Source organism: Homo sapiens, chromosome 9 (assembly GCF_000001405.40).
Source record: "Homo sapiens chromosome 9, GRCh38.p14 Primary Assembly".
Taxonomy (NCBI): Eukaryota; Metazoa; Chordata; class Mammalia; order Primates; family Hominidae; genus Homo; species Homo sapiens.
In genome coordinates, this window is record NC_000009.12 from 132,744,576 (window position 1) to 132,766,019 (window position 21,444).

A 21,444-nucleotide genomic window follows, 5' to 3' on the forward strand; every position below is an offset into this window, starting at 1 on the left:
AATCTAATAGGATTCACTTCTGGAAAAACCTAAATCTGATTAAATATTAATAACCAGTGGTATTAATTAAGGGGGAAAAGTCCATCAAGAGAACCCCAATATGTTTACAGTGTCCCCAGGAAACTGGGAAAATTCACAATCAAGTGTGTAAATGTTCTAAGAAAGGGTCCTGAATATTTTATGAATATTTGTCATAAAACAGAAATAATAACCACTGTGCAGAGCTATTAGAATTAATATTTATGCTGCCCGCCATGAAATATTCATGGGGACAGAGAAAGGGGGGCCGTAAGACAAGAATTAATTTACACTGGGCTCGGTTTACCCGCTGGCTTGATGTTTAAAGACGGTTGACAAGCCTCCATATGAATCCGCCAGTCACTTCCCGCAGTCTGCGGAGTGGAGGGGGTGGAGACGGGTCCGGGCTGCTGACAGCTCACAGATTGAGTTTCTGACAGCCCTTAAAAAACCTAAACGGCCCCCACCTATTTCCCCTTCTTCCATTGCCCAAAGCGCTCTGTTCTGCCACCGTTCATCCGATCTCCCCTTCCATCTGCTGAAATTAACGAATTAATGAGCGAGATACGCTTTACGGTGGGGCCTTATGAATGTTTACAGGCGATTAAATTATAATGCGGGGCGGCTGTATAATTCATGAACCAATTAAAGGAAGTGTTAGTTGATTTGATGGGATGAGGACGTACAAAATGCATTTAACTAATGGGGAACCGCGGGCTGCCCAGGGCCGGCTCCCTCTCTCGGATTACGCGGCTAATTGCTCGACTTTACGGGGCTGTCACAGATAGCCATGCATATTTCATTGTTCTCAAATACTTCAATTGTGTGCGTCCGTGTCGCGGCTGTAATGTGGAGAAGGCGGGCCAAACTTGGGTGTAGTTACAGTACCCGAGCTGGGCCCCGGCAGAAACCTGAGCTCCAGAGTCGGGTGTCTGGGCCATTAGGTGATTAAAAAGGCTCAGCATGCGATCGCCTTTTGTTTTACTATGTTCTCTTCGGGACACTAATTCCGGATGCTGACTTCATGACCGTGGTGACACTGGGGCCCTGATCCCTTTCTTTCCGGGTAGTGGAGGGGAGGTCCACAGCCCCCTGTATTGTTCACACCCTGTGTGCCCTCGAAGCCCAATGTCCCCAGTGCAAGGGTCCCTCAAGACAGTCCACCTGAGACAATCCCCAAGCTAAGGGTTTCCCTCAGGCCTGACTTTGTCCATCCGTACAAGGTGGCCACCAGGAGCTTCTTTAAATGCGGTCTAAACTTGGACCCAAACTTGAAGCTGTCATCAGCTCCTTGAAGTATGTTTGGAAGGAAATCAGCAGAGAAGAGCAAATGCACCCTCCCCAAGGAGTAAAATGATCCTGGTGCTCAGGAAGAGAGAGGATGCTTCCAGAATTCTGTGAGCCGAAGGACAGAGGAGACAAAGGTGGCTGACTTCCCAGCTGGAGCAACGGGGATGTCGAGTTTAGGGAGACGCTGCCTTCATCCAGCAATCCTAGTGCACTCTGTGGGGAGCAGGGTGAGACCATCGGAGCCGCGCAGCCAACCAGTCAGTCCTCTGAGATGGTTCTATTCTCTCCTCTCGCTTCCAAGCCAGTCTGGCATTCACCTGAGCCAAGCACATGCATGCACACACACACATAGACACACACACGAAACAAATTAGAAGCCCTGTGGTTACCACCTTCAGTCCTCCTGTGGATACCTATGAAAGAATGTATTTTACTCCCACTTTTGCGAGTAGGGCCTGGGCAGCAGCCAGAGCTGGGGCTCTGGGGTCTGCACTCTCAGGATCAAGGCTCATACCCTTCTGCAGACACCAGGAATGCATGGCCAAGGGCAGCCCCAGGTTCCCCATCTAAGGGGACAGGGATGGCAACAGGTGAGGAGGATTAAAGGCACTAACCCGTGGCCTTAGCATCGAGGCTGATATGTGATAATCACCCAATTTAGTTAGCCAATACTATTATCACATGCTAATAGAGATTCCGACTTGCGCAACAGGGAGGCTCTATCCATCACTTTCCTCTTCCACAAACGCACATGACAGTCGGGGTTGGCTTCCACCCCTTAATTGCGCAGTGGACAGTGTGCTGTCAAATGGAGCAACCAGTGAGGTCTACAAGAATGCCTTACGGAGGCAGCAAAATAGATCCAGGTGGAAAAGTTGCAGGAACCCCCGGGCCACACGTGAGGCGAGCACTCAGTCTCTGCCTCGAGGATGAAAGAAGGGCCAACTGCACATTAAAAGAAAGTAAGTTCACTTGGTCTAAAATATTTAATTGGGGCCTAATTGAAAATGAAGTATCAATTAGTAGTCAAGCTGGGTTTAATGCATTCTGGTTTAAAATAAAACCAAACTATCATTCATCAAATACAACTGCCTTAAATATTTTACAGTTGTTACTTTATATCATCTTGCAAAGTAAACAGTATTCTCAATGCATATATGCGGCAACTGAGGCTCAGGGTAGCCAAGTATCTTGGTTCAGAAATTTATTTTAAGCAAATATTTGTGCAAGTGTAAAGATATATGGACAAGATTTCTCATTGCTGAATTACTTCTTTGAGACAGAGTCTCGCTCTGTTGCCAGGCTGGAGTGCAGTGGTGCAATCTCGGCTCACTGCAACCTCCATCTCCTGGGTTCAAGCGATTCTCCTGCCTCAGCCTCCTGAGTAGCTGGGACTACAGGCGTGTGCCACCACACCCAGCTAATTTTTGTATTTTTAGTAGAGATGGGGTTTCACCATGTTGGTTTCACCATGTTGGCCACGATGGTCTCAATCTCTTGACCTCATGATCTCCCCACCTTGGCCTCCCAAAGTGCTGGGATTACAGGCATAAGGCACTGCACCCAGCATTTTTTTTTTTCTGAGATGGAGTCTGGTTCTGTCACACAGGCTGGAGTGCAGTGGTGCAATCTTGGCTCACTGCAACCTCCGCATCCCAGGTTCAAGCGATTCTCATGCCTCAACCTGTAGCTGGGATTACACCATGCCTGGCTAATTTTTTGTATTTTGTAGAGAGGGGGTTTCATCATGTTGGCCTGGCTGGTCTTGAACTCCTGACCTCTAGTGATCTGTCTGCCTCGGCCTCCCAAAGTGCTGGGATTACAGGTGTGAGCCACCATGCCTGGCCTTACTTTATATGTCTGGTTTTAATTTTTTAATTTTAATTTTTTTTTTTACAATGAGACTGTACTATTTCTACAATTAAGAAAAACACTAATTATAAAATCACAGGCTGGGCGTGGTGGCTCACACCTGTAATCCCAGCACTTTGGGAGGCCGAGGCAGGGGAGTTCGAGACCAGCCTGGCCAACATAATGAAATCCCATCTCTACTAAAAATACAAAAATTAGCCGAGCATGGTGATGGGCGCCTGTAGTCTCAGCTACTTGGGAGGCTGAGGCAGGAGAATCGCTTGAACCCAAGAGGTGGAGGTTGCAGTGAGCTGAGACGGTGCCATTGCACTCCAGCCTGGGCAACAAGAGTGAAACTCTGTCTCAGAAATAAATAAATAAATAAATAAACAAAATCACAAGAACAGGTTTATTGTTAAAGACGGAAAAGTGTGCATTTTCAGCTACAGGACCAACATAATGGTGATAACACGTAGATAACCGTAAGACTGGACCGGAAGTTCTTATGCGCAGATCATAAAACACACAGATTTAAAGCTTCATGTGTCTGAGCAGTGCTCTCAGTCTCTTATCAAACCCCCCATATCACTGTGGAATCAGAACTTCATTTCAATAAGAGTGGGCAGAATGGGGACAAGGACACAGCAGATGCTGGCCACTGAGAAGGACAAAGAGTGGGACGACCTTTCACCCAGGTGCCAGCCTCCCAGGTGCTCAGGTGCGAGAGGGCTCAGGTGAGGAAGTGTGAATAGCTCAGTGCAAATCAATGCCTCTGGTTTAAGAAAATCAAAAGATGTTCATTCATTCATTCAACAAATATTTACCCAGTGCTTCCTAGATGCTAGTTGCTGGCTGCCCTAGGAACTACAGATCTAGTGGTGAATGAGCCAGGCACATTCCTGGCCTCCCACAGCTTTTACCACGTGTGTTTAGATACACACAGACACCATCTGCCCGTGGTACTTGGGGTTGATCTCGATATTAAAAGATGCAAATATGTACTATGAAAAGACCAGTTTGCAATCGGCAAAGGGATGAGATCCACAAGTTGTTTGCTAAATATGGTTTGGACAAGGAGGGTGAAGTACACACTAATTTCTTGGATGGATAATTTTTCTGATGAAGTGGCTAAGTTGTGTTTGTTTGTTTGTTTGTTTTGAGACTAAGTCTCACTCTTGACCCCAGGCTGGAGTGCAATGGCGCGATCTCGGCTCACTGCAACCTCCGCCTCCCGGGTTCAAGCGATTCTCTTGCCTCAGCCTCCTGAGTAGCTGGGATTACAGGTACCTGCCACCAAGCCCGGCTAATTTTTGTATTTTTAGTAGAGACGGGTTTCACCATGTTGGCCAGGCTGGTCTCGAACTCCTGACCTCAGGTGATCTGCCCATCTTGGCCTCCCAAAGTGCTGGGATTACCGGCGTGAGCCACTGCGCCCAGTAAATATTTACAATGTTTTTCACGAACTAAGCATGCTACATAACATAATTTCACGCAATCTTCTCTTTGTAGGAGTTAGGCACAACCACCATCCCCTATTTGATAGGTGTGGGAACTGGGTCTCAGGGAAGTTATGCAGCTTCTCAAGGTCCCATCCCTAGTAAAGGCAGGCTCTGGGTTCAGGTGCTGGACGCTCTGGCCTGCCATAACCACTGGGCACTACCGCCTCCCTGGATGCTCTTGTGCGAGGCCCCTCGTAAGGTGTGCTGGCTCTTCAGGTGCCCCGTGCCCGGCACTCTGTGAGGATGCACAGGATACCTCTCACTGCGTCTTCATGGCAAGCCCGGGACGTAGGTGTAACTGTCACCCCCATCTTATGGATGAGGCAGCTTGCCCCGATATCGGCTGGTGAGTGACCCAGAAGAACTCGCGACTCACAGCTGCTGGACTCTAACATCCAGGGTGGGAGCCACTGGGCTGTGTTGCTGTTTCCCAAATGCAGGAAGTCTCTTAAGTGCTTCATTTACTCTGTTTTTTTTTTTTCTTGAGACAGATTTGTTCATCGATAATTTTTATTTTTTAAATCGATATGAAAATCCTCTTGCAGGGGTGGACTGGAGCTGAGGGCACTTGAAGGGGTGAGTGGGAAAGCCCACAGCCAGGAGCCACCAGAACCGGCGCAGAGAACAGACGCTGCTGCAGGAGGCCATGGGGCTGGTGTTGGGGTGGGCGTGCACTTGCCATCCTTTTATTTCTTCCCCAACCTCCTTCCTCTGTCTTCCTTACCTCGAGATACTGACAGCACACTCCTAGAGATACTGACAGCACACTCTTGGAGATACTGACAGCACACTTATATTGAGTTTCTGCCATGTGTACGCATCTTGGGGAGGCCTGGGAGGCCCTGATGCATCAGGCTTCTTGGCCTCTCTGTGCCCACCCCTGAACCAGCCTCTCTTCCTTCACCTCTTCTCATGGGCTCTGTCATGCAGGCTGGAGTGCAATGGTGCGATCTCGGCTCACTGCAACCTCCGCCTCCTGGGTTCAAGCGATTCTCCTGCCTCAGCCTCCCGAGTAGCTGGGATTACAGGCATGTGCCACCACACCCGGCTAATTTTTGTACTTTTAGTAGAGATGGGGTTTCACCATGTTGGCCAGGCTGGTGTCCAAATCCTGACCTCAAGTGAGCCACCCGCCTTGGCCTCTCAAACTGCTGGGATTACAGGTGTGAGCCACCGCGCCCGGCTCCTCTTCATTTCTTCTACACATCTTTCTGTCCGGCATCGGGGCAGCAGTGGCCAACAGAAGACATACCTCTGTGGCCTTCCCAGCACAATTCCAAGGACTTCCCTGAATATTCCAACTCTGGGACATCCCCTCTGAGCTTTCATTCCAGGAAAACCACGCTTTCTTCTCAAATTTCTAAATAGGATTGGAAGCTCTTACTTGTGGACTAGCAAAGATAAGGGTTCAGATTCTAGCGCTTCAAAGGACTCCATCCGGTGAATCCCACCAGGGCGCGAGCTCCCCCATGAGAGCAACTTCAGAGAGAAGCTCCCTTAGGCTCCCTCCCCTCCCAAATCTGCACCTAACGTCAGGCTGCATCCAGAGATACCAATGGAAATTAGGTACAAATTGTACCCTGGACTTGACTTTGCAATCGGAAGAAACCTCGATTTGTGGGGGTAAAGGTCACCGCCTGGAAGGCCTAACCCAGAGGCCAGCCCTGTGGCTTGGCCAGGCCAAGAGAAGCCTCCCCTAACTGCCTATGGAAAAGAACCCAGGGTTAAACTGTTTATCTGGGTTATGCTCCCAGGTTAAACTTCTTAAGTGAACCGACCCAAGGAGGTGAAACCTGAATTTCTAGATAAAGCTTTTCCACGTCTTTGGCCAGGTACACAGAACTGCAATTTAAAACTTCTGGGTTTTATGCCGGGTGCCGTGGCTCACGCCTGTAATCCCAGCACTTTGAGAGGCCAAGGCAGGCCGATCATTTGAGGTCAGGAGTTCAAGACCAGCCCGGCCAACATGGTGAAACCCCATGTCTACTAAAAATACAAAAATTAGCCGGGCGTGGTGGTGCACGCCTGTAATCCCAGCTACTCAGGAGGCTGAGGCAGGAGAATCGCTTGAACCCGGGAGGCAGAGGTTGCAGTGAGCCGAGATCATGTCACTGCCCTCCAGCCAGGATGACAGAGTGAGACTCCAAAAAAAAAAAAAAAAAACAAAAAAAACCAACTTCTGGGTTTTGCTAGTTGTCTGCGAATTAAGTCTATGATTCCAGCTGAGAAGCCTGCAACATCCTGGTGGTTGCAGTGAGCCGAGATCATGCCACTGCACTCTAGCCACGATGACAGAGTGAGACTCCAAAAAAAAAAAAAACAACTTCTGGGTTTTGTTAGTTGTCTGTGAATTAAGTCTATGATTCCAGCCGAGAAGCCTGTGACATCCTGGTGGCATCTCCCCCAAGGGCCATCAACTTGTGATAATCCTGGTCCTTGTGTGACGGCTGACGAGCACAAATGCTCTCAAAGAAGTACTGTGCAGCCACTGACGGTGAGGCTGGGGACAGTGTTTGTGAACACGGGTTCATGGTATATTCCATAGAGGAAAGGGCTGTGATATAATGTGTGCAATTAAGACCCTGTTTTCATTTTTATTATTTATTTTCTTATTTTTTTATTTTTGAGAAGGAGTCTCGCTCTGTCGCCCAGGCTGGAGTGCAGTGGCGCGATCTGGGCTCTGCAACATCTGCCTCCTGGGTTCAAGTGATTTTCCTGCCTCAGCCTCCTGAGTAGCTGGGACTATAGGCATGCAGCACCACACCTGACTAATTTTTTTTGTATTTTTAGTAGAGATGGGGTTTCATCATGTTGGTCAGGCTGGTCTCGAACTCCTGACCTCAAATGATCCACGCGCCTCGACCTCCCAAAGCACTGAGATTATAGGTGCGAGCCACCGTGCCCAGCCAAGACCTGTTTAGAGTAGTTTTTAAAATATTGGAATAGACATACACCCAAATGTCAACATTAGTTATCTTTGGATATTGGAAATATTTTTACTTAGCTACATTTTCTAACTTTTTTTTTTTTTTTTTTGAGACGGAGTCTCGCTGTCGCCCAGGCTGGAGTGCAGTGGCGTGATCTCTGCTCACTGCAGGCTCCACCAGCTGGGTTCACGCCATTCTCCTGCCTCTGCCTCCCGAGCAGCTGGGACTATAGGCGCCCGCCACCACGCCTGGCTAATTTTTTGTATTTTTAGTAGAGATGGGGTTTTACCATGTTAGCCAGGATGGTCTCGATCTCCTGACCTCGTGATCTGCCCGCCTCAGCCTCCCAAAGTGCTGGGATTACAGGCGTGAGCCACTGCACCCGGCCTACATTTTCTAACTTTTCTACAATAAGTAGATGCCCTGTGTAATCAAATGTTTGAAATAACCACCTTCGCCACACCCTGCCCCCACCTTGTTCCTCCAGTGGCTTCCCTTCCCCCAGCTCTCCTGGAATGGGCCTGGCTGTCCCTGGCCCAGGACATGGACGCTGGCTGCCCCCCACCCACCCCACCTGCAGAACTCTTCCTCCCCTCCTCCTGCAGCTGGCTCCTTCCTTCCATTCAAGTCTGAGCTTAAACCAGCCCTCCTCAGAGGCACCTTCCCCCACCAGCGCATCCAAACCAGTCAGCTTGCCCCTACTCCATCATGCCATGGCATTTTAATCCCACATAAAGCACTTGGTCCTAGCAGGTATTTCTGCTCTGTTTATTTGTCTAACGTCGCCTCCTCCCATGGGAATGTTTTGCTTGTTTCTGTGGCCCCAGCGTCTGGAACGGTGCCTGGCAAAGAGAAGCCTACAATAAATACTTCTGGAGCGAACAAATTGAAGTGTAAGTCCTTCCCTTACTACTAGGAATAGCAGCTGCCACAACTGGGCTCCGAGCTGATCATTCTACACTGGGGAATCACGCCGCATTCCCAGGAGGAAGGAGCCAGGCCACTGTTGACCTCCTTTTGTCCTGGGGAATCTGAGGATCAGAGACATAAAGTAACCTCCCTGTCACCCCCCTAGTAAGCCAGCTGGTTCTGGGCTCTCTCATCTTGCCGCTCCACTGCCAAGAACAACCTCCATCCTATGCTAGGGGCTGGGCCTGGCCCTGCAGGATGTGGGCCTGGCTGGCAGGCAGCCCTGACCCTCTGCCTGGCCCCAGTGGCAGGGTCCCCACAACTCCTATCTGGGAAGGGCTTAGGGGCAGCAGCCCAGTTAGAACTGCTCATTGGACATGTTCACAAAGCTGCACACACTGTTTACTGAGACGATGGCTTTATTTGGGGTGGCTGGGGCAGAGAGAGCTCATGAGTGTGGGGGCTGAAGCCATCCCTGGACTAATCCCCAGGTACTCACATCCTGGTAGGGAAGGGCCCCTGGCACAGGCTCAGGCTGGTGGCTTTAAGCCAGTTTCCTTGCTGGAGGGTATGGGTCATCCCCAGGGTGGCCCAGCTGGGGCGGAAGGGCACCCTCGCAGTGAGGGGATCCCCGCTGTGGAGAGCATGAAGCCCCTCCATGTTCTCTAGGGAAGGAGACAAGTGGGCAGGAGACAAGTGCTCTCACGCCCCATCCCTGCAGCCTCCTGGAGTGGCACGCAGGTGACAATGGGGACTGCAGGGAGCATGCACGAAGGTCTCCTCTTCGTATTTACTCATCCAGTCTTTCCACTGCCGTCTGAATTAGGTCCCATCATTGCCTCCATTTTATGATGCAGAAGGAGCCCTCCAGGTGGGATAAGTCATTCAGACAGCGCAACTCACAGAGGGCACTGGAGCCCGGAGTGCGGTTCCAGAAGGCAGCTCTTTGCCGTCACACCACACTGTCTGTCTCTAAAGGACCCACTGCAGGGTGACTTGGTTAACAGCTGAGAACCCACTGAGGTCAGCAGAAACTCCAGGGGAAGAAGAAGAGGGCACATGGCCGCCTAGGATCTCTGCAACAACATGCTACCAGGAGACGGCACAACACGCAAGGTCGGGAAAGGGGAAGCAGATGATACTCTTTGATGTTTCTGAAGTACCTCCGCCACAAGCAAGCACAGAGATGTATTTCAGTTTGGGATAGAAATGGCTATTTGCATTTCATCATCTTTGAGCAGGACTGCAGACATAAATGGGACCCATGATGGAGCCAAATCAGCATATTGCAGTGTGAGCCCGAGGTGATATCCAGCAGGCCTTTGAGAGGTGTGGGCACCCAGCGTGTAACACTGGCATTAATCACCAGTGACTCTGAATGTTCGTGGAAGATCAGTAAGCATGCAAATGAGAGAACAGGATCGGCCCCATCCCCATCTGATTGGAAACATATCAGGCCGCCCCCTTTCATATCAAGTTTCCATTGTAAAGAGTAAAACTTTCAATGGCCATTCCTCTTGCCGCTGCCCTCTCTGTGATGCTGGTGCTTCCTCCTGCTGCTGTTCCCGGGAGGACAGTTGAGCCAAGGGCAGCTTCTCCTCCTCTCCCTCCCCTAGCCATGCCTATCACACATAAGGAACCAACAGTTTCCAATTTGATTCCATTTTTCTCCAACTACTTAAAGAAAAAGGCCTTACAGCCAAAACATTACCACTGATTTTTGTTTTTTGGTTTTTTTTTTTTTTTTGAGACAGAGTTTTGCTCTTGTTGCCGAGGCTGGAGTACAATGGTGCAATCTTGGCTCATTGCAACCTCCACCTCCTGGATTCAAGCACTTTTCCTGCCTCAGCCTCCCAAGTACCTGGGATTACAGGCATGTGCCACCACGCCAGGCTAATTTTGTATTTTTAGTAGAGATGGGGTTTCACCATGTTGGCCAGGCTGGTCTCGAACTCCTGACCTCAGGTAATCTGCCCGCCTCGGCCTCCTAAAGTGATGGGATTACAGGCATGAGCCACCGTGCCCCACCTTGCTAATATTTTTATCAGCATCTTCCCTTCTTTTAGCTGACAGGAGCAAGCACTTGCTGTCATGCCAGAATATTTGGATTACAACTTGGTTATCTAAAAGATTTGGCAGGTTTTCATATTTTCCATGTGTCAGAGACCTGGAACACTACTGTGTCCTGGCACCCCCTCAGCCGCTTTCTTGCCTATGGTATCTCCCAGGTGCCAGGTGCCCCCTACCCTGCACACCAAGAGCCACGCTGGGAGAGAGTGCTGCCAGCCGAGCACCCGAGCGCCTCGACCCGTCCCACCTGATTGCACCGGCTCTAAGGCAAACCTCAAAGAATGCGCTCACTGTGAAGGACAGTAGTTAGCTGTGTCCAAATCTGTCTGTTCTGCTAGAGGGAAGCTCCTGGGAGAGGGACCATGGAGGGCAGGACTGCGCCTCACTCCCACCTTTGCATCTTCAGAGCCTGCACCGTGTGCACATAGCCCCTCATCACAGGGCTTAATCGGTTTGCTGAATGAATACATGATCTTCCTATTTGCTGAGAGCCATAAATCACCAGCTATAGAAGTGGTGGCCCCAGTAGCCGTTGCATTATAGCATCCCAGGGCCAAAGAGAACACCAGAAGACCCTTAATTTTACAGGCAGAGTTGCCTCAGGCCAATGACTGGCTCCAACTCTCAGATTTTTTTTTTTTTTTTGAGACGGAGTTTCGCTCTTGTTTCCCAGGCTGGAGTGTAATGGTGCGATCTCTGCTCACTGCAACCTTCGCCCTCTGGGTTCAAGTGATTCTCCTGCCTCAGCCTCCCCAGTAGCTGGGATCACAGGCATGCGCCACCATGCCTGGCTAATTTTGTATTTTTAGTAGAGACGGGGTTTCACCATGTTGGCCAGGCTGGTCTCAAACTCCTGACCTCAAGTGATCCACCTGCCTTGGCCTCTCAAAGTGCTGGGATTACAGGCATGAGCCACCACACCTAGACTCAAAGACTTTTTTAAAATGAGGTGTATTCCTCAGCTGCCCTTAGCTTTCCTCCCATTGCCACCTTTACAGACACTAAAGAATTTTGTCCAGACTCTTCCTGGTGTACATAAATTCCACTTCCCTTTGTTTTCCTCTCACAGGAAGTACAAAAACAGCAGCTCATTCTTGCATAGAAAAGAATTCTCCTCCCAAAAAAGAAGCTCCCAGGTTCTAGAGAGAAAGCTTTGAGGCCCTCAGTTTAAGCCATTCTGCCTTCTGCAGTGTCTGGGGAAAGCTGCTGTCGGGCCCAACTCTCTCCTAGAGGCACCTTGAGGTGTGGAGCTTGGCTCCGAAGCCAGGCGGGGAGCCAGAGGGAGGGCGCCTGCAACCTGCGAAGCAGTTTCTTAAGTGATCATTTGCATACCTAAAAATTCACTGTTCATGGTAACAAATTCCTTTTAAACCACCTTCTGCACTGATAACAAATCTATGTTTTGCCAAGGTGAGGGGAGAGGCGATCAGCTGCCGGGGGCCACACTCCGAAGTGCGAACAGAATCTGAAGCACCCTCTCACGGGAAATGCCGGCATCTCACTGACCTGATTCTGAGCAAGCAAGAGGGCGCTGGATTGTCCCACTCTTTGAAGCTCAAAATGGGCTTCTGTAAGCACCGAACGCACGTCACCTAATTTATCTCTCATCACACCCTGTGAGCAGGTGCCATTGTCATCATCCCCCCTTTAGAGACAGGCGAATTCCGCACCCCCATAAAACGACTCACTCAAGGTCATTATCAGCCCTACATCTATAACTCACGGACTCGTGTCTAGAGAGTTCTGCCTGGCTGATTTTCTCTGTTCTTCTAACTACTCCACAACTAAATGTTTCACAAAGCCATTTCCCCCCCAAATATTTATGTTCTCAAATGTTTATTGCCTCTCTATCATGATCAAGATTTTATGAGCACTCTATATCAGTTGTGAATTAAATACATAATTTCGGAATCATCGCATTCCAGTTTGGTGCTACATTTGTCTCTATTACACCGCAGCAGTTGCCGTGGGCACCCGACAGATGACAACGGAATGCGTGTGTCCAGGGGCAGCCAGAGTGACTGACATTTCAATCCAGAAGCTGCCACGGGGACCTGGTGATTCCCACCGTTAGCGGGAGAGAAGCTTCCACAGCTCACCGGGATGGTCAGAGGGTTCCGGAGCAGGACAAGGCTAGGATGGGCTCCCCCCGTCACCCTCACTGCACCAACGAGGCCGTGTCCAACCCGCTGGCCTCTGGGGAAGGAGGGCCCGCCATCTCACGGCAGGTGAAGAAGACAAGGAGAAAAAGAGGCCATTTTTTTCCTCTGATGAGCAGTACCCACTCTCTTATAGAACAATCCGGGCTATGCCTGGGGGCCTACTGGTTAATCCCATCCTGTATGGGAAATACAGAAAGAATATCGAGCCTGGAACAAAACTGCTACAATTTATTACTCCCTCACATTTACCTGTATGCACTACCTGACTGACCCTCACAGCAACTTCACACAATGTGGACTGCTAATTCCACTTTGCAAGTGAAGAAACTGAGGCTCCGAAAGGCGGCAACCGCAGAGGTGGATCTGGTTCCTGTTTCCAGGCCTTTGCCCCTTCTGTTCCCTCTTGTGGCCAGCCCCCCGAAACACTAAAAATGGAAATAACTGTCATTACTGAAATACTCTATCTGTCTATCAAAATAGAACTGCCGTGGGTAATATAGCCATTCCTGAAAGAAAACATTTAGGGATATTTTAAATCCATCATTGATCCTAAGGGAGGGAAAAAAAAGGTCCCTAAACCTTAAGTTTCATGATGATAAACACTTCCACAGCTTGAGCACGAGGAGGGCAATTCCACTGAACTGGGCCACTAACTTGGGCAGGGCTGCAGTTTTGATGGCTCTGGGGGCTGTCCCTCACATCGCTGTCCTGATGTCCTCATGGTCTGCCATGTGGCATCACCCAGCTTAGATGAAGCCTTTGTTTCTTGGACGTTTCCGTCATTTCCAAAGCATCCATCACTTTCAGTCATCCAATTCTTTATTGCCACCAGTAGAATTATGAGCTCTTGGGCACTTTGGTGGCACCCATTGAAAACAGAAGTGCAACTACAGTTCCCTTCCAGGCTTTTAATCTGGAGAAACAGTCACACGAATACGCGGAGCCACACATACGGCATGTTTATTACAGAACCATTTGCAAAGGGAAAGAAAGAAAAAAGTCTAAATGCTCTTCAGCAGGGCTTCCTACTCATCCATATCCTCATCAGTACTTGGTTTGGACAGACTTAATGTTTGACAAGCTGGCAGGAACAAAACAATGTACCATTATGATTTAAATTCGTATTTTCCATTTTCTTTTTTTTTGTTTGTTTGTTTATGTTTTTTGAGACAGGGTCTGGCTCTGTCACCCAGGCTGGAGTGCAATGGTGCGATCTCGGCTCACTGCAACCTCTGCTTCCCTGGTTCAAATGATTCTCTTGCCTCAGCTTCCCAGGTAGCTGGGATTACAGGCCTGTGCCACCAGGCCTGGCTAATTTTTTTTTTTTCTGCATTTTTAGTAGAGATGGTTTTTCGCCATGTTGCCTAGTCTGGTCTCTAACTCCTGAGCTCAAGTGATCCGCCTGCCTCAGCTTCCCAAAGTGTGGGGATTACAGGCATGAGCCACCGCATTTTCCATTTTCTAATGAGGTTTAGCAACTTTTTCTGTTTTTTGGCCCTTGTGTTTTTTCTTTTGTGAAATCCATGTTCACGTCTTAAAAAAATAAAACAAAACAGCCTTACTGAGATATAATTCACACACCATAAAATTCACTTATTTACAGTGTACAGTTCCAGCCGGGCATGACAGCGCATGCCTGTAATCCCAGGACTTTGGGAGGCTGAGGTGGGAGGATCGCTTGAGCCCCAGAGTTCAAGACCAGGCTTGGCAAAACGGCAAAACCCTGTCTCTACAAAAAAATACAAAAATTAGCCTGGTGTGGTGGTGTGTTGTAGTCCCAGCTATTACGGAGGCCAAGGTGGGAGGACTGCTTGAACCTGGGAGGTCGAGGCTGCAATGAGCTGTGATCACGCCACTGCACTCCAGCCTGAGGGACACAGTGAGACCTGGTCTCAAAAAAAAAAAAAAAAAAAAATAGAAATGTACAATTCCACAGGTTTTAGCACACTCCCAGAATTCTATGATCTGTTCCTGATTTTTCTGCCCATTTTTATATTAAGCATACTTTATCTCATTCATTTATAGGAGCTCTTTATAAATTCTGGATACTAACTCTGTTTTGGTTGCAACTAGCCTATCCCAGATTGAGTCTTTTCATTCTTCAGATGAATGCCTTTGGCTGAATAAAAGTTCTCAATTTTAATGTAGTCAAATTTATTTATTTTCTTTTGTTGTTTACGCTCTTTGGGTCTTATTTTAGGAAGACTTCTGTATCCCAAGATCATAAGATAGTTTCGTATATGTTCTTCTACAAGGTTTTACAGTTTTGTCTTTCACATTTAAGCTTTTAAACTACCTGGAATTGATTGTTACATATATGGGGCAAGTAGCTGTCGAAGGTAATTTTTTCCCACATGGGTACCCAGTTGCGCAGCATCATTTATTGGAAAGTCCATCTCTTCCCCCTGATCCGTGGTGCCACCCCTGTCATTATCAAGTGTGAGTGTTTCCGGGCTCTGTGTTCTGTGTCACTGGTTAGTAGATCTAATTTAGTGCTAACACCTCAATGTCCTAATGGTTTTAAAATAAATAGATATTTGAGAGGGCAAGTCCTCCCACTTTGTCTTTCTTCGGGAATAACTTGATAAATTTTTAACTCTTTGCTCTTCTATGTAAATGCAGAATGAGCACAGCAAGTTGCATCAAAAAGAACCACTACCAACAATTTGGAATTTTAATTCTGATTCCACTGGATCTATGATCAATTTGGGAAGGGGTGACATCTTTATAATATTAGCGTCCCTAACCATGAACGAGACATTGCCTCCCTCTTAGGGATTCTTACATGCCTTTTAATAAACTTACACAGTTTTTCCAATAAAGGGCTTATACATCTTTCATTGTGTTTATTTCAGTGTACACTTTTCTTCTGCTATACGTTGTTAATTTTTTTTTTTTTGGAGATGGGGTCTTGCTGTGTTGCCCAGGCTGCAGTGCAGTGGAATGATTATAGCTCACTGCAGCCCTGACTCCTGGGTTTAAGTGATCCTCCCACCTCAGTCTCCCAGTAGCTGAGATTACAGGCTCAAGCTGCTGTGCCTGGCCATTGTTGTTGATTATTATCTTAGTTTTACATTTTCCAACTCTCTGTTGCCAAAGAAAGTGTAAATAATCTTTGGATCTTTAATTATTGATCTTTTAGTTGGTAACCTTGCTAAACTCTCACTAAAACTATTATGTACTCCATAAATTCTTTGGGGCTTTCTTAATGTAGATAATCATAACACCTGCCAATAATGACTTTTGGTCCTTCCATCCCAAGTCCTAGAGGTTTTATTTACTTTTCTTGTCTTTACTGCACTGTTTAATAATGTTTCATAGAAATGATGATGGGGGAATCCTTGTCTTATGCTTGATTTTAAAGGGCATGCTTCTAACATTTCACCACTAAGACCTATGGTTGCTATAGTTTGGGAAGGTATCTTTTATCAGGTTAAGGAAATTCCCTTCAGTTTATAGCTAAGAATTTTAAAATCATGAATAGATATTTAATTTTATCCAATGCTTTGTCTTCATCTATTGAAATAGCTATATCTCTTTTTCTTTAATTTCTTATTATTGTGAATTCAAGTAATAGCTTTTCTAAAGTTGAATCATCCTTGAATACCCTAATACACAATTGGATTGGATTTGCTAATATTTTGTTTAGGATTGTGGCAACTATATTTACGAATAACATTGGCCTGTAATTTTTCTTATTTATATTATCTTTGGGTTTCACATTAAGACTTTATTAATCTTATGAAATGTATTGTGATGTGTTCCCTCTTTTTCTTTTTCTGTTTTCTGAAAAGAGTTTGTTCACAATGGGAATAATCAATTCCTTGAATACTGTGGTAGATTTCACCTGTAAAAGGCATCTGGGCCTAGTGTTTAAGGGAGGGGAACAATTCATTTTTATTATTCAATTTATTTAATAGTTATGGGACTTTGGATTTTCTATTTCTTTTTTCTTTTCTTTTCTTTTCTTTTTTTTTTTTTTTGAGACAGGGTCTCACTCAGTCACCCAGGCTGGAGTGCAGTGGCACAATCTTGGCTGCCACCTCTGCCTCCCGGGTTCAAGCAATTCTCATGCCTCAGCCACTCGAGTAGCTGGGATTAGAGGCATGTGCCACCATGCTCGGCTAATTTTGGTATTTTTAGTAGAGACAGGGTTTCGCCATGTTGGCAAGTCTGGTCTCAAACTCCTGGCTTCACGTATCTGCCCACCTCAGCTTCCCAAAGTGCTGGGATTACAAGCATGAGCCGCTGCACCTGGCCTCTATTTCTTCTTATGTCACTATTCATAAGATTTTTTTTCCTATGAATGTATCTGTTTTATCTATGTTTCCAAATGTATTGCCATAAAGTTGTTTGTAATATTTTTCCTATCCTTGTAATCTGTTATATTTATGTTACTATATTTATTATCAAAATGTGTTTCATCCTCTTTTTCATTTCAAATATGTCAATCTGTTCTTTCTTTCCTTTCTTTCTTCCTCCCTTTTTCTCTTCTTCCCTCCCTCCCTCCTTCTCTCTCTCTCCCTCTCTCTCTCTTTCTTTCTTCTTTTCTTTTCTTCCTCTCTCTCTCTCTTTTGTTTTCTTTAGAGACAGAGTCTTGTTCTGTAGCTCAGGCTGGAGTGCAGTGGTGCAATCTCAGCTCACTGCAACCTTCACCTCCCCAGTTCAAGCAATTCTTGTGTCTCAGCCTCCCGAGTAGCTGAGACTACAGCTGCATGCCACCATACCTGGCTAATTTTTGTATTTTTAGTAGAAATGGGGTTTTACCATGTTGGCCAGGCTGGTCTCGAACTCCTGGCCATAAGTGATCTGCCCACCTTGGCCTCCCAAAGTGCTAGGATTACAGGAATGAGCCACTGCGCCTGGCCATTCTTTCTTTTTTAATTGATCAATATTGCTAGAGATTTGTCGGTTTATTAATTTTGCCAAGGAATCCACTTTTGCTCTACCCAAGCTCTGTTAACTATTCCATTGGTTTCTGTTCTCTCTCCAGCTACTCTTTGAGTTTAGTAATTTTTTAACCTAGGTCAGCGGCTTAGATCATTAATTTTCAACTGTTCTTCTTTTGAGATTTATTTTTCACTGAATACCATTTATGTTCCTTCAATGTGTGACTCCTTTCAATTAAAAAATCAAAGTAGATGATGTTGGAGTGACCCCAGGAAGATGACTAGCTAGAGGCCTCTAGTCAGCTCTCCCTTCCACAAAGACGGCCAAACAGTGAATAAACAACTATATTTAAATGAAAATAAATACAGGAGTGAGTCCTGGAGTTCATCAAAGGAGTAACAGAAACCCTGGTGAGCAAAGAAACTCTGGATAGCCACATAGAAAACGGAAGGAAACAATCCCAGCACTTTGGGAGGCTGAGGCGGGCGGATCACCTGAGGTCAGGAGTTCCAGACCAGCCTGGCCAATATGGAGAAACCCTGTCTCTACTAAAAATACAAAAATTAGTCAGGGGTGGTGGTGCATGTCTGTAATTCCAGCTACTTGCACCCAGGAGGCGAAGTTTGCATGAGCTGAGATTGTGCCACTGCACTCCAGCCTGGGTGACAGAGCGAGACTCTATCTCAAAAGAAAAAGAAAAAGAAAAGAAAAAGGAAGGAAACAACAGGACTCCACTGCCCATCCTCCAGCCAGAGTCAGCCAGGAACCAGGAGGAACGTCTTCCTACAGCGAAAAGGTAGAAAAGAGGATTCCAGCAGCTCCCACCACCCTTTGGACACCTGCTCACCACTGGGGTCCTCACAGGCCCTATGCCCATGCAGAGAGCTGTCTAGTATCTACACAGCTGTGCTCCCCTAGAGAAGGAGGTGACACAGTACCCTGCCACTGTGGCCAGCCGGCTGCTGTATGACACCATCTTGAAGCTGGAGCTACCGCTGGAGTGTGCCTTGCTTTTGGGGGAAAGTCACAACAAATTTTAAAGAATTGATATCATATCAAGTACCTTTTGTGACCACAATGGCATAAAACTAGAAATCAATAACAAGAGGAACTTTTGAAACTGTACAAATACATGCAGATTAAACAACATGCTCCTGAATGACCAATGGGTCAATGAAGAAATTAAGGAGGAAATTAAAAAATTTCTTGAAACAAAGGAAAATAGAAACACACACTCTTCAATTAAGTTTAGCCTAAGGCTGCCATCTTACATATTTTAAGTTTGGCCTAAAGGTTGCTTTATACACAGTAAGCTGTAATCTAACTAGATGCGTAAACAGACTGTAACTTATTTTTGTACCTATCACCAAGTTTTGGCCAACTAAGGCAGCCAACTGTTCAAACCGTATTCAAATAAGGCAAATGCCAAGCTATAATCAATCCAGTTGTTTTTGTACCTCGTTTCCATCTTCTGTATGTCACATCATTTTCCTTTTTCTGTCTACAAATCCACTCCACCCACTTGGCAGCGCTGGTGTCATTCTGAGCCTGTTCTGGTTTGGGGGGCTGCCCAATTCATGAATTGTTCTTTGCTTAATTAAAGTCTGCTGAATTTAATTTGTCTAAAGTTTTTCTTTTAACAATCCCAAAGCCTACAGGGTACAGCAAATGCAGTATTAAAAGGGAAGTTTATAGTGATAAACACCAACATCAAAAAAAGTAGGAAGATTTCAAATAACCTAATGATGCATTTCAAGGAACTAGAAAAGCAAAAACTAACCCAACCCCACATGAGTACAAGAAAATAAATAATAAAGATCAGAGCAGGCTAGGAGCAATGGCTCATGCCTGCAATCCTGTCCTAGCATTTTGGGAGGCCAAGGTGGGTGGGTTGCTTGAGTCCAAAAGTTTAAGACCAGCCTAGGCAACATGGTGAAACCCTGTCTCTACTAAAAAATAATTTAAAAAATTATCTGGGTGTGTTGGTGTGCACCTATAGTCCTAGCTACTCAGGAGGCTGTGGTGGGACAATCACTTGAGCCTGGGAGGTAGACGTTGCAGTGAGCTGAGATCACACCACTGCACTCCAGCCTGGACAACAGAGCAAGACTCTGTCTCAAAAACACAAAAACAAAAACAAAAAACAAAAAAACAAGATCAGGGCAGAAATAAAACTAAAAGAAAAATACAAAGATCAACAAAATTAAGTCAGTTTTTAACAAAATCAATTAGCTTGATTAACAAGAAAAAAACAGAAAAGACCCAAATAAATCAGCAACAAAAAAGGACACATTACAACTGGTACCACAGATATACAAAGGCTCATTAGAGACTATTATGAACAACTATGCACCAACAAACTGGAAAATCTAACAGAAATGAATAAATTCCTGGACACATACAACCTACCAAGATAGAATCAGAAGAAATAGTAAAACTGAACAAACCAATTATGAGTGACAAGATTGAATCAGTAATAAAAAGTCTCCCATCACAGAAAAGCCCAGGACTTGATGGCTTCACTGCTGAATTCTACCAGACATTTAAAGAAGAGCTAACTGATAGTAATGGCCAAAACCACAATTCCTTTTGCACCAACCTAATACCATTTCTTCTCAAACTTTTCTACAAAATAGAAGAGGAGGTAATTCATCCAAATGCATTCTATGAGGCCAGCATTACTCTAATACCAAGGCCAGACAAAGATACAGCAAAAAAAGAAAACTATAGGCCAACATCCTTGATGGACACAGAAGCAAAAATCCTCGACAAAATACTAACAAACTGAATCCAGCAGCACATTAAAAAGATCATTCACCAGCTGGGCGTGGTGGCTCACGTCTGTAATCCCAGCACTTTGGGAGGCCAAGGCGGGCAGATTGCCTGAGTTCAGGAGTTTGAGACCAGCCTGGGCAACACGGTGAAACCGCATCTCTACTAAAATGCAAAAAATTAGCTGGGCGTGGTGGCACGCACTTGTAGTCCCAGCTACTCGGGAGGCTGAGGCGGGAGAGTTGCTTGAGCCCAGGGGGCGGAGGTTGTAGTGAGCCAAGATCATGCCACTGCATTCCAGCCTGGGCAACAGAGCGAGACTCCATTTCAAAAAAAAAAAAAAAAAAAAAAGAGAATTCACCATAATCATGTGGTGCATCTCAGGGATGCAAAGATGGTTCGATATATGCAAATCAATAAATGCAATAGATCACACCAACAGAATGAAAGACAGAAACCACACGATCATCTTAATAGATGCAGAAAAATCATTTGATAAAATTCAACATCCCTTCTTGATAAAAACCCTTAACAAGCTGGGGACAGTGGTGCACACCTGTAGCCCCAGCTACTCGGGAGGCTGAGGTGGGAGGATCACTTGAGCCCTGGAGTTCAAGACCAGCATGGCCAACATAGCAAGATGAGACCCTGTCTCTAAAATAAACAAGCAAAACAACAACAACAAAACCCTCAACGAACAATGTATAGAAGGAGTATATACCTTAACACAATAAAGCTCATATATATGGCAAACCGATATCTAACTTTATACTGAATAGGAAAAAGTTGAAAGCTTTTCCTCTAATAACTGGAATAAAACAAGTATGCCCACTCTCATCGCTCTTATTCAATACATTACTGTAAGTCCTTGCCAGAGCAATTAGACACAAAAAAGAAATAAAGGTCATCCAAATTGGAAAGGAGGAAGTCAAATTATCCCTGTTTGCAGATAGCATGATTTTGCATATAGGAAACCCTAAAATGCTCTACCAAAAAACTCTTTGAACTGATAAACACATTTAATAAAGTTGCAAAAGACAAAATTAACATACAAAA

General features: G+C 46.1%; 1 protein-coding gene across 12 annotated transcripts in view, besides 1 other annotated feature; it reads right to left on the bottom strand.

Moving 5' to 3' along the window:
• The window catches only part of AK8 (adenylate kinase 8), a 153,469-nt gene that overhangs the window by 18,998 nt on the left and 113,027 nt on the right, over positions 1–21,444 (bottom strand). The window lies entirely within an intron of this gene.
• Positions 733–1,232: an enhancer, noted in NCBI's record as "NANOG-H3K4me1 hESC enhancer chr9:135620695-135621194 (GRCh37/hg19 assembly coordinates)". NCBI's record gives its function as "activates a minimal SCP1, AML or CMV promoter by ChIP-STARR-seq in naive H9 embryonic stem cells {active_cell/tissue: H9 hESC(naive)}" and the evidence as "EXISTENCE:reporter gene assay evidence [ECO:0000049][PMID:30033119]".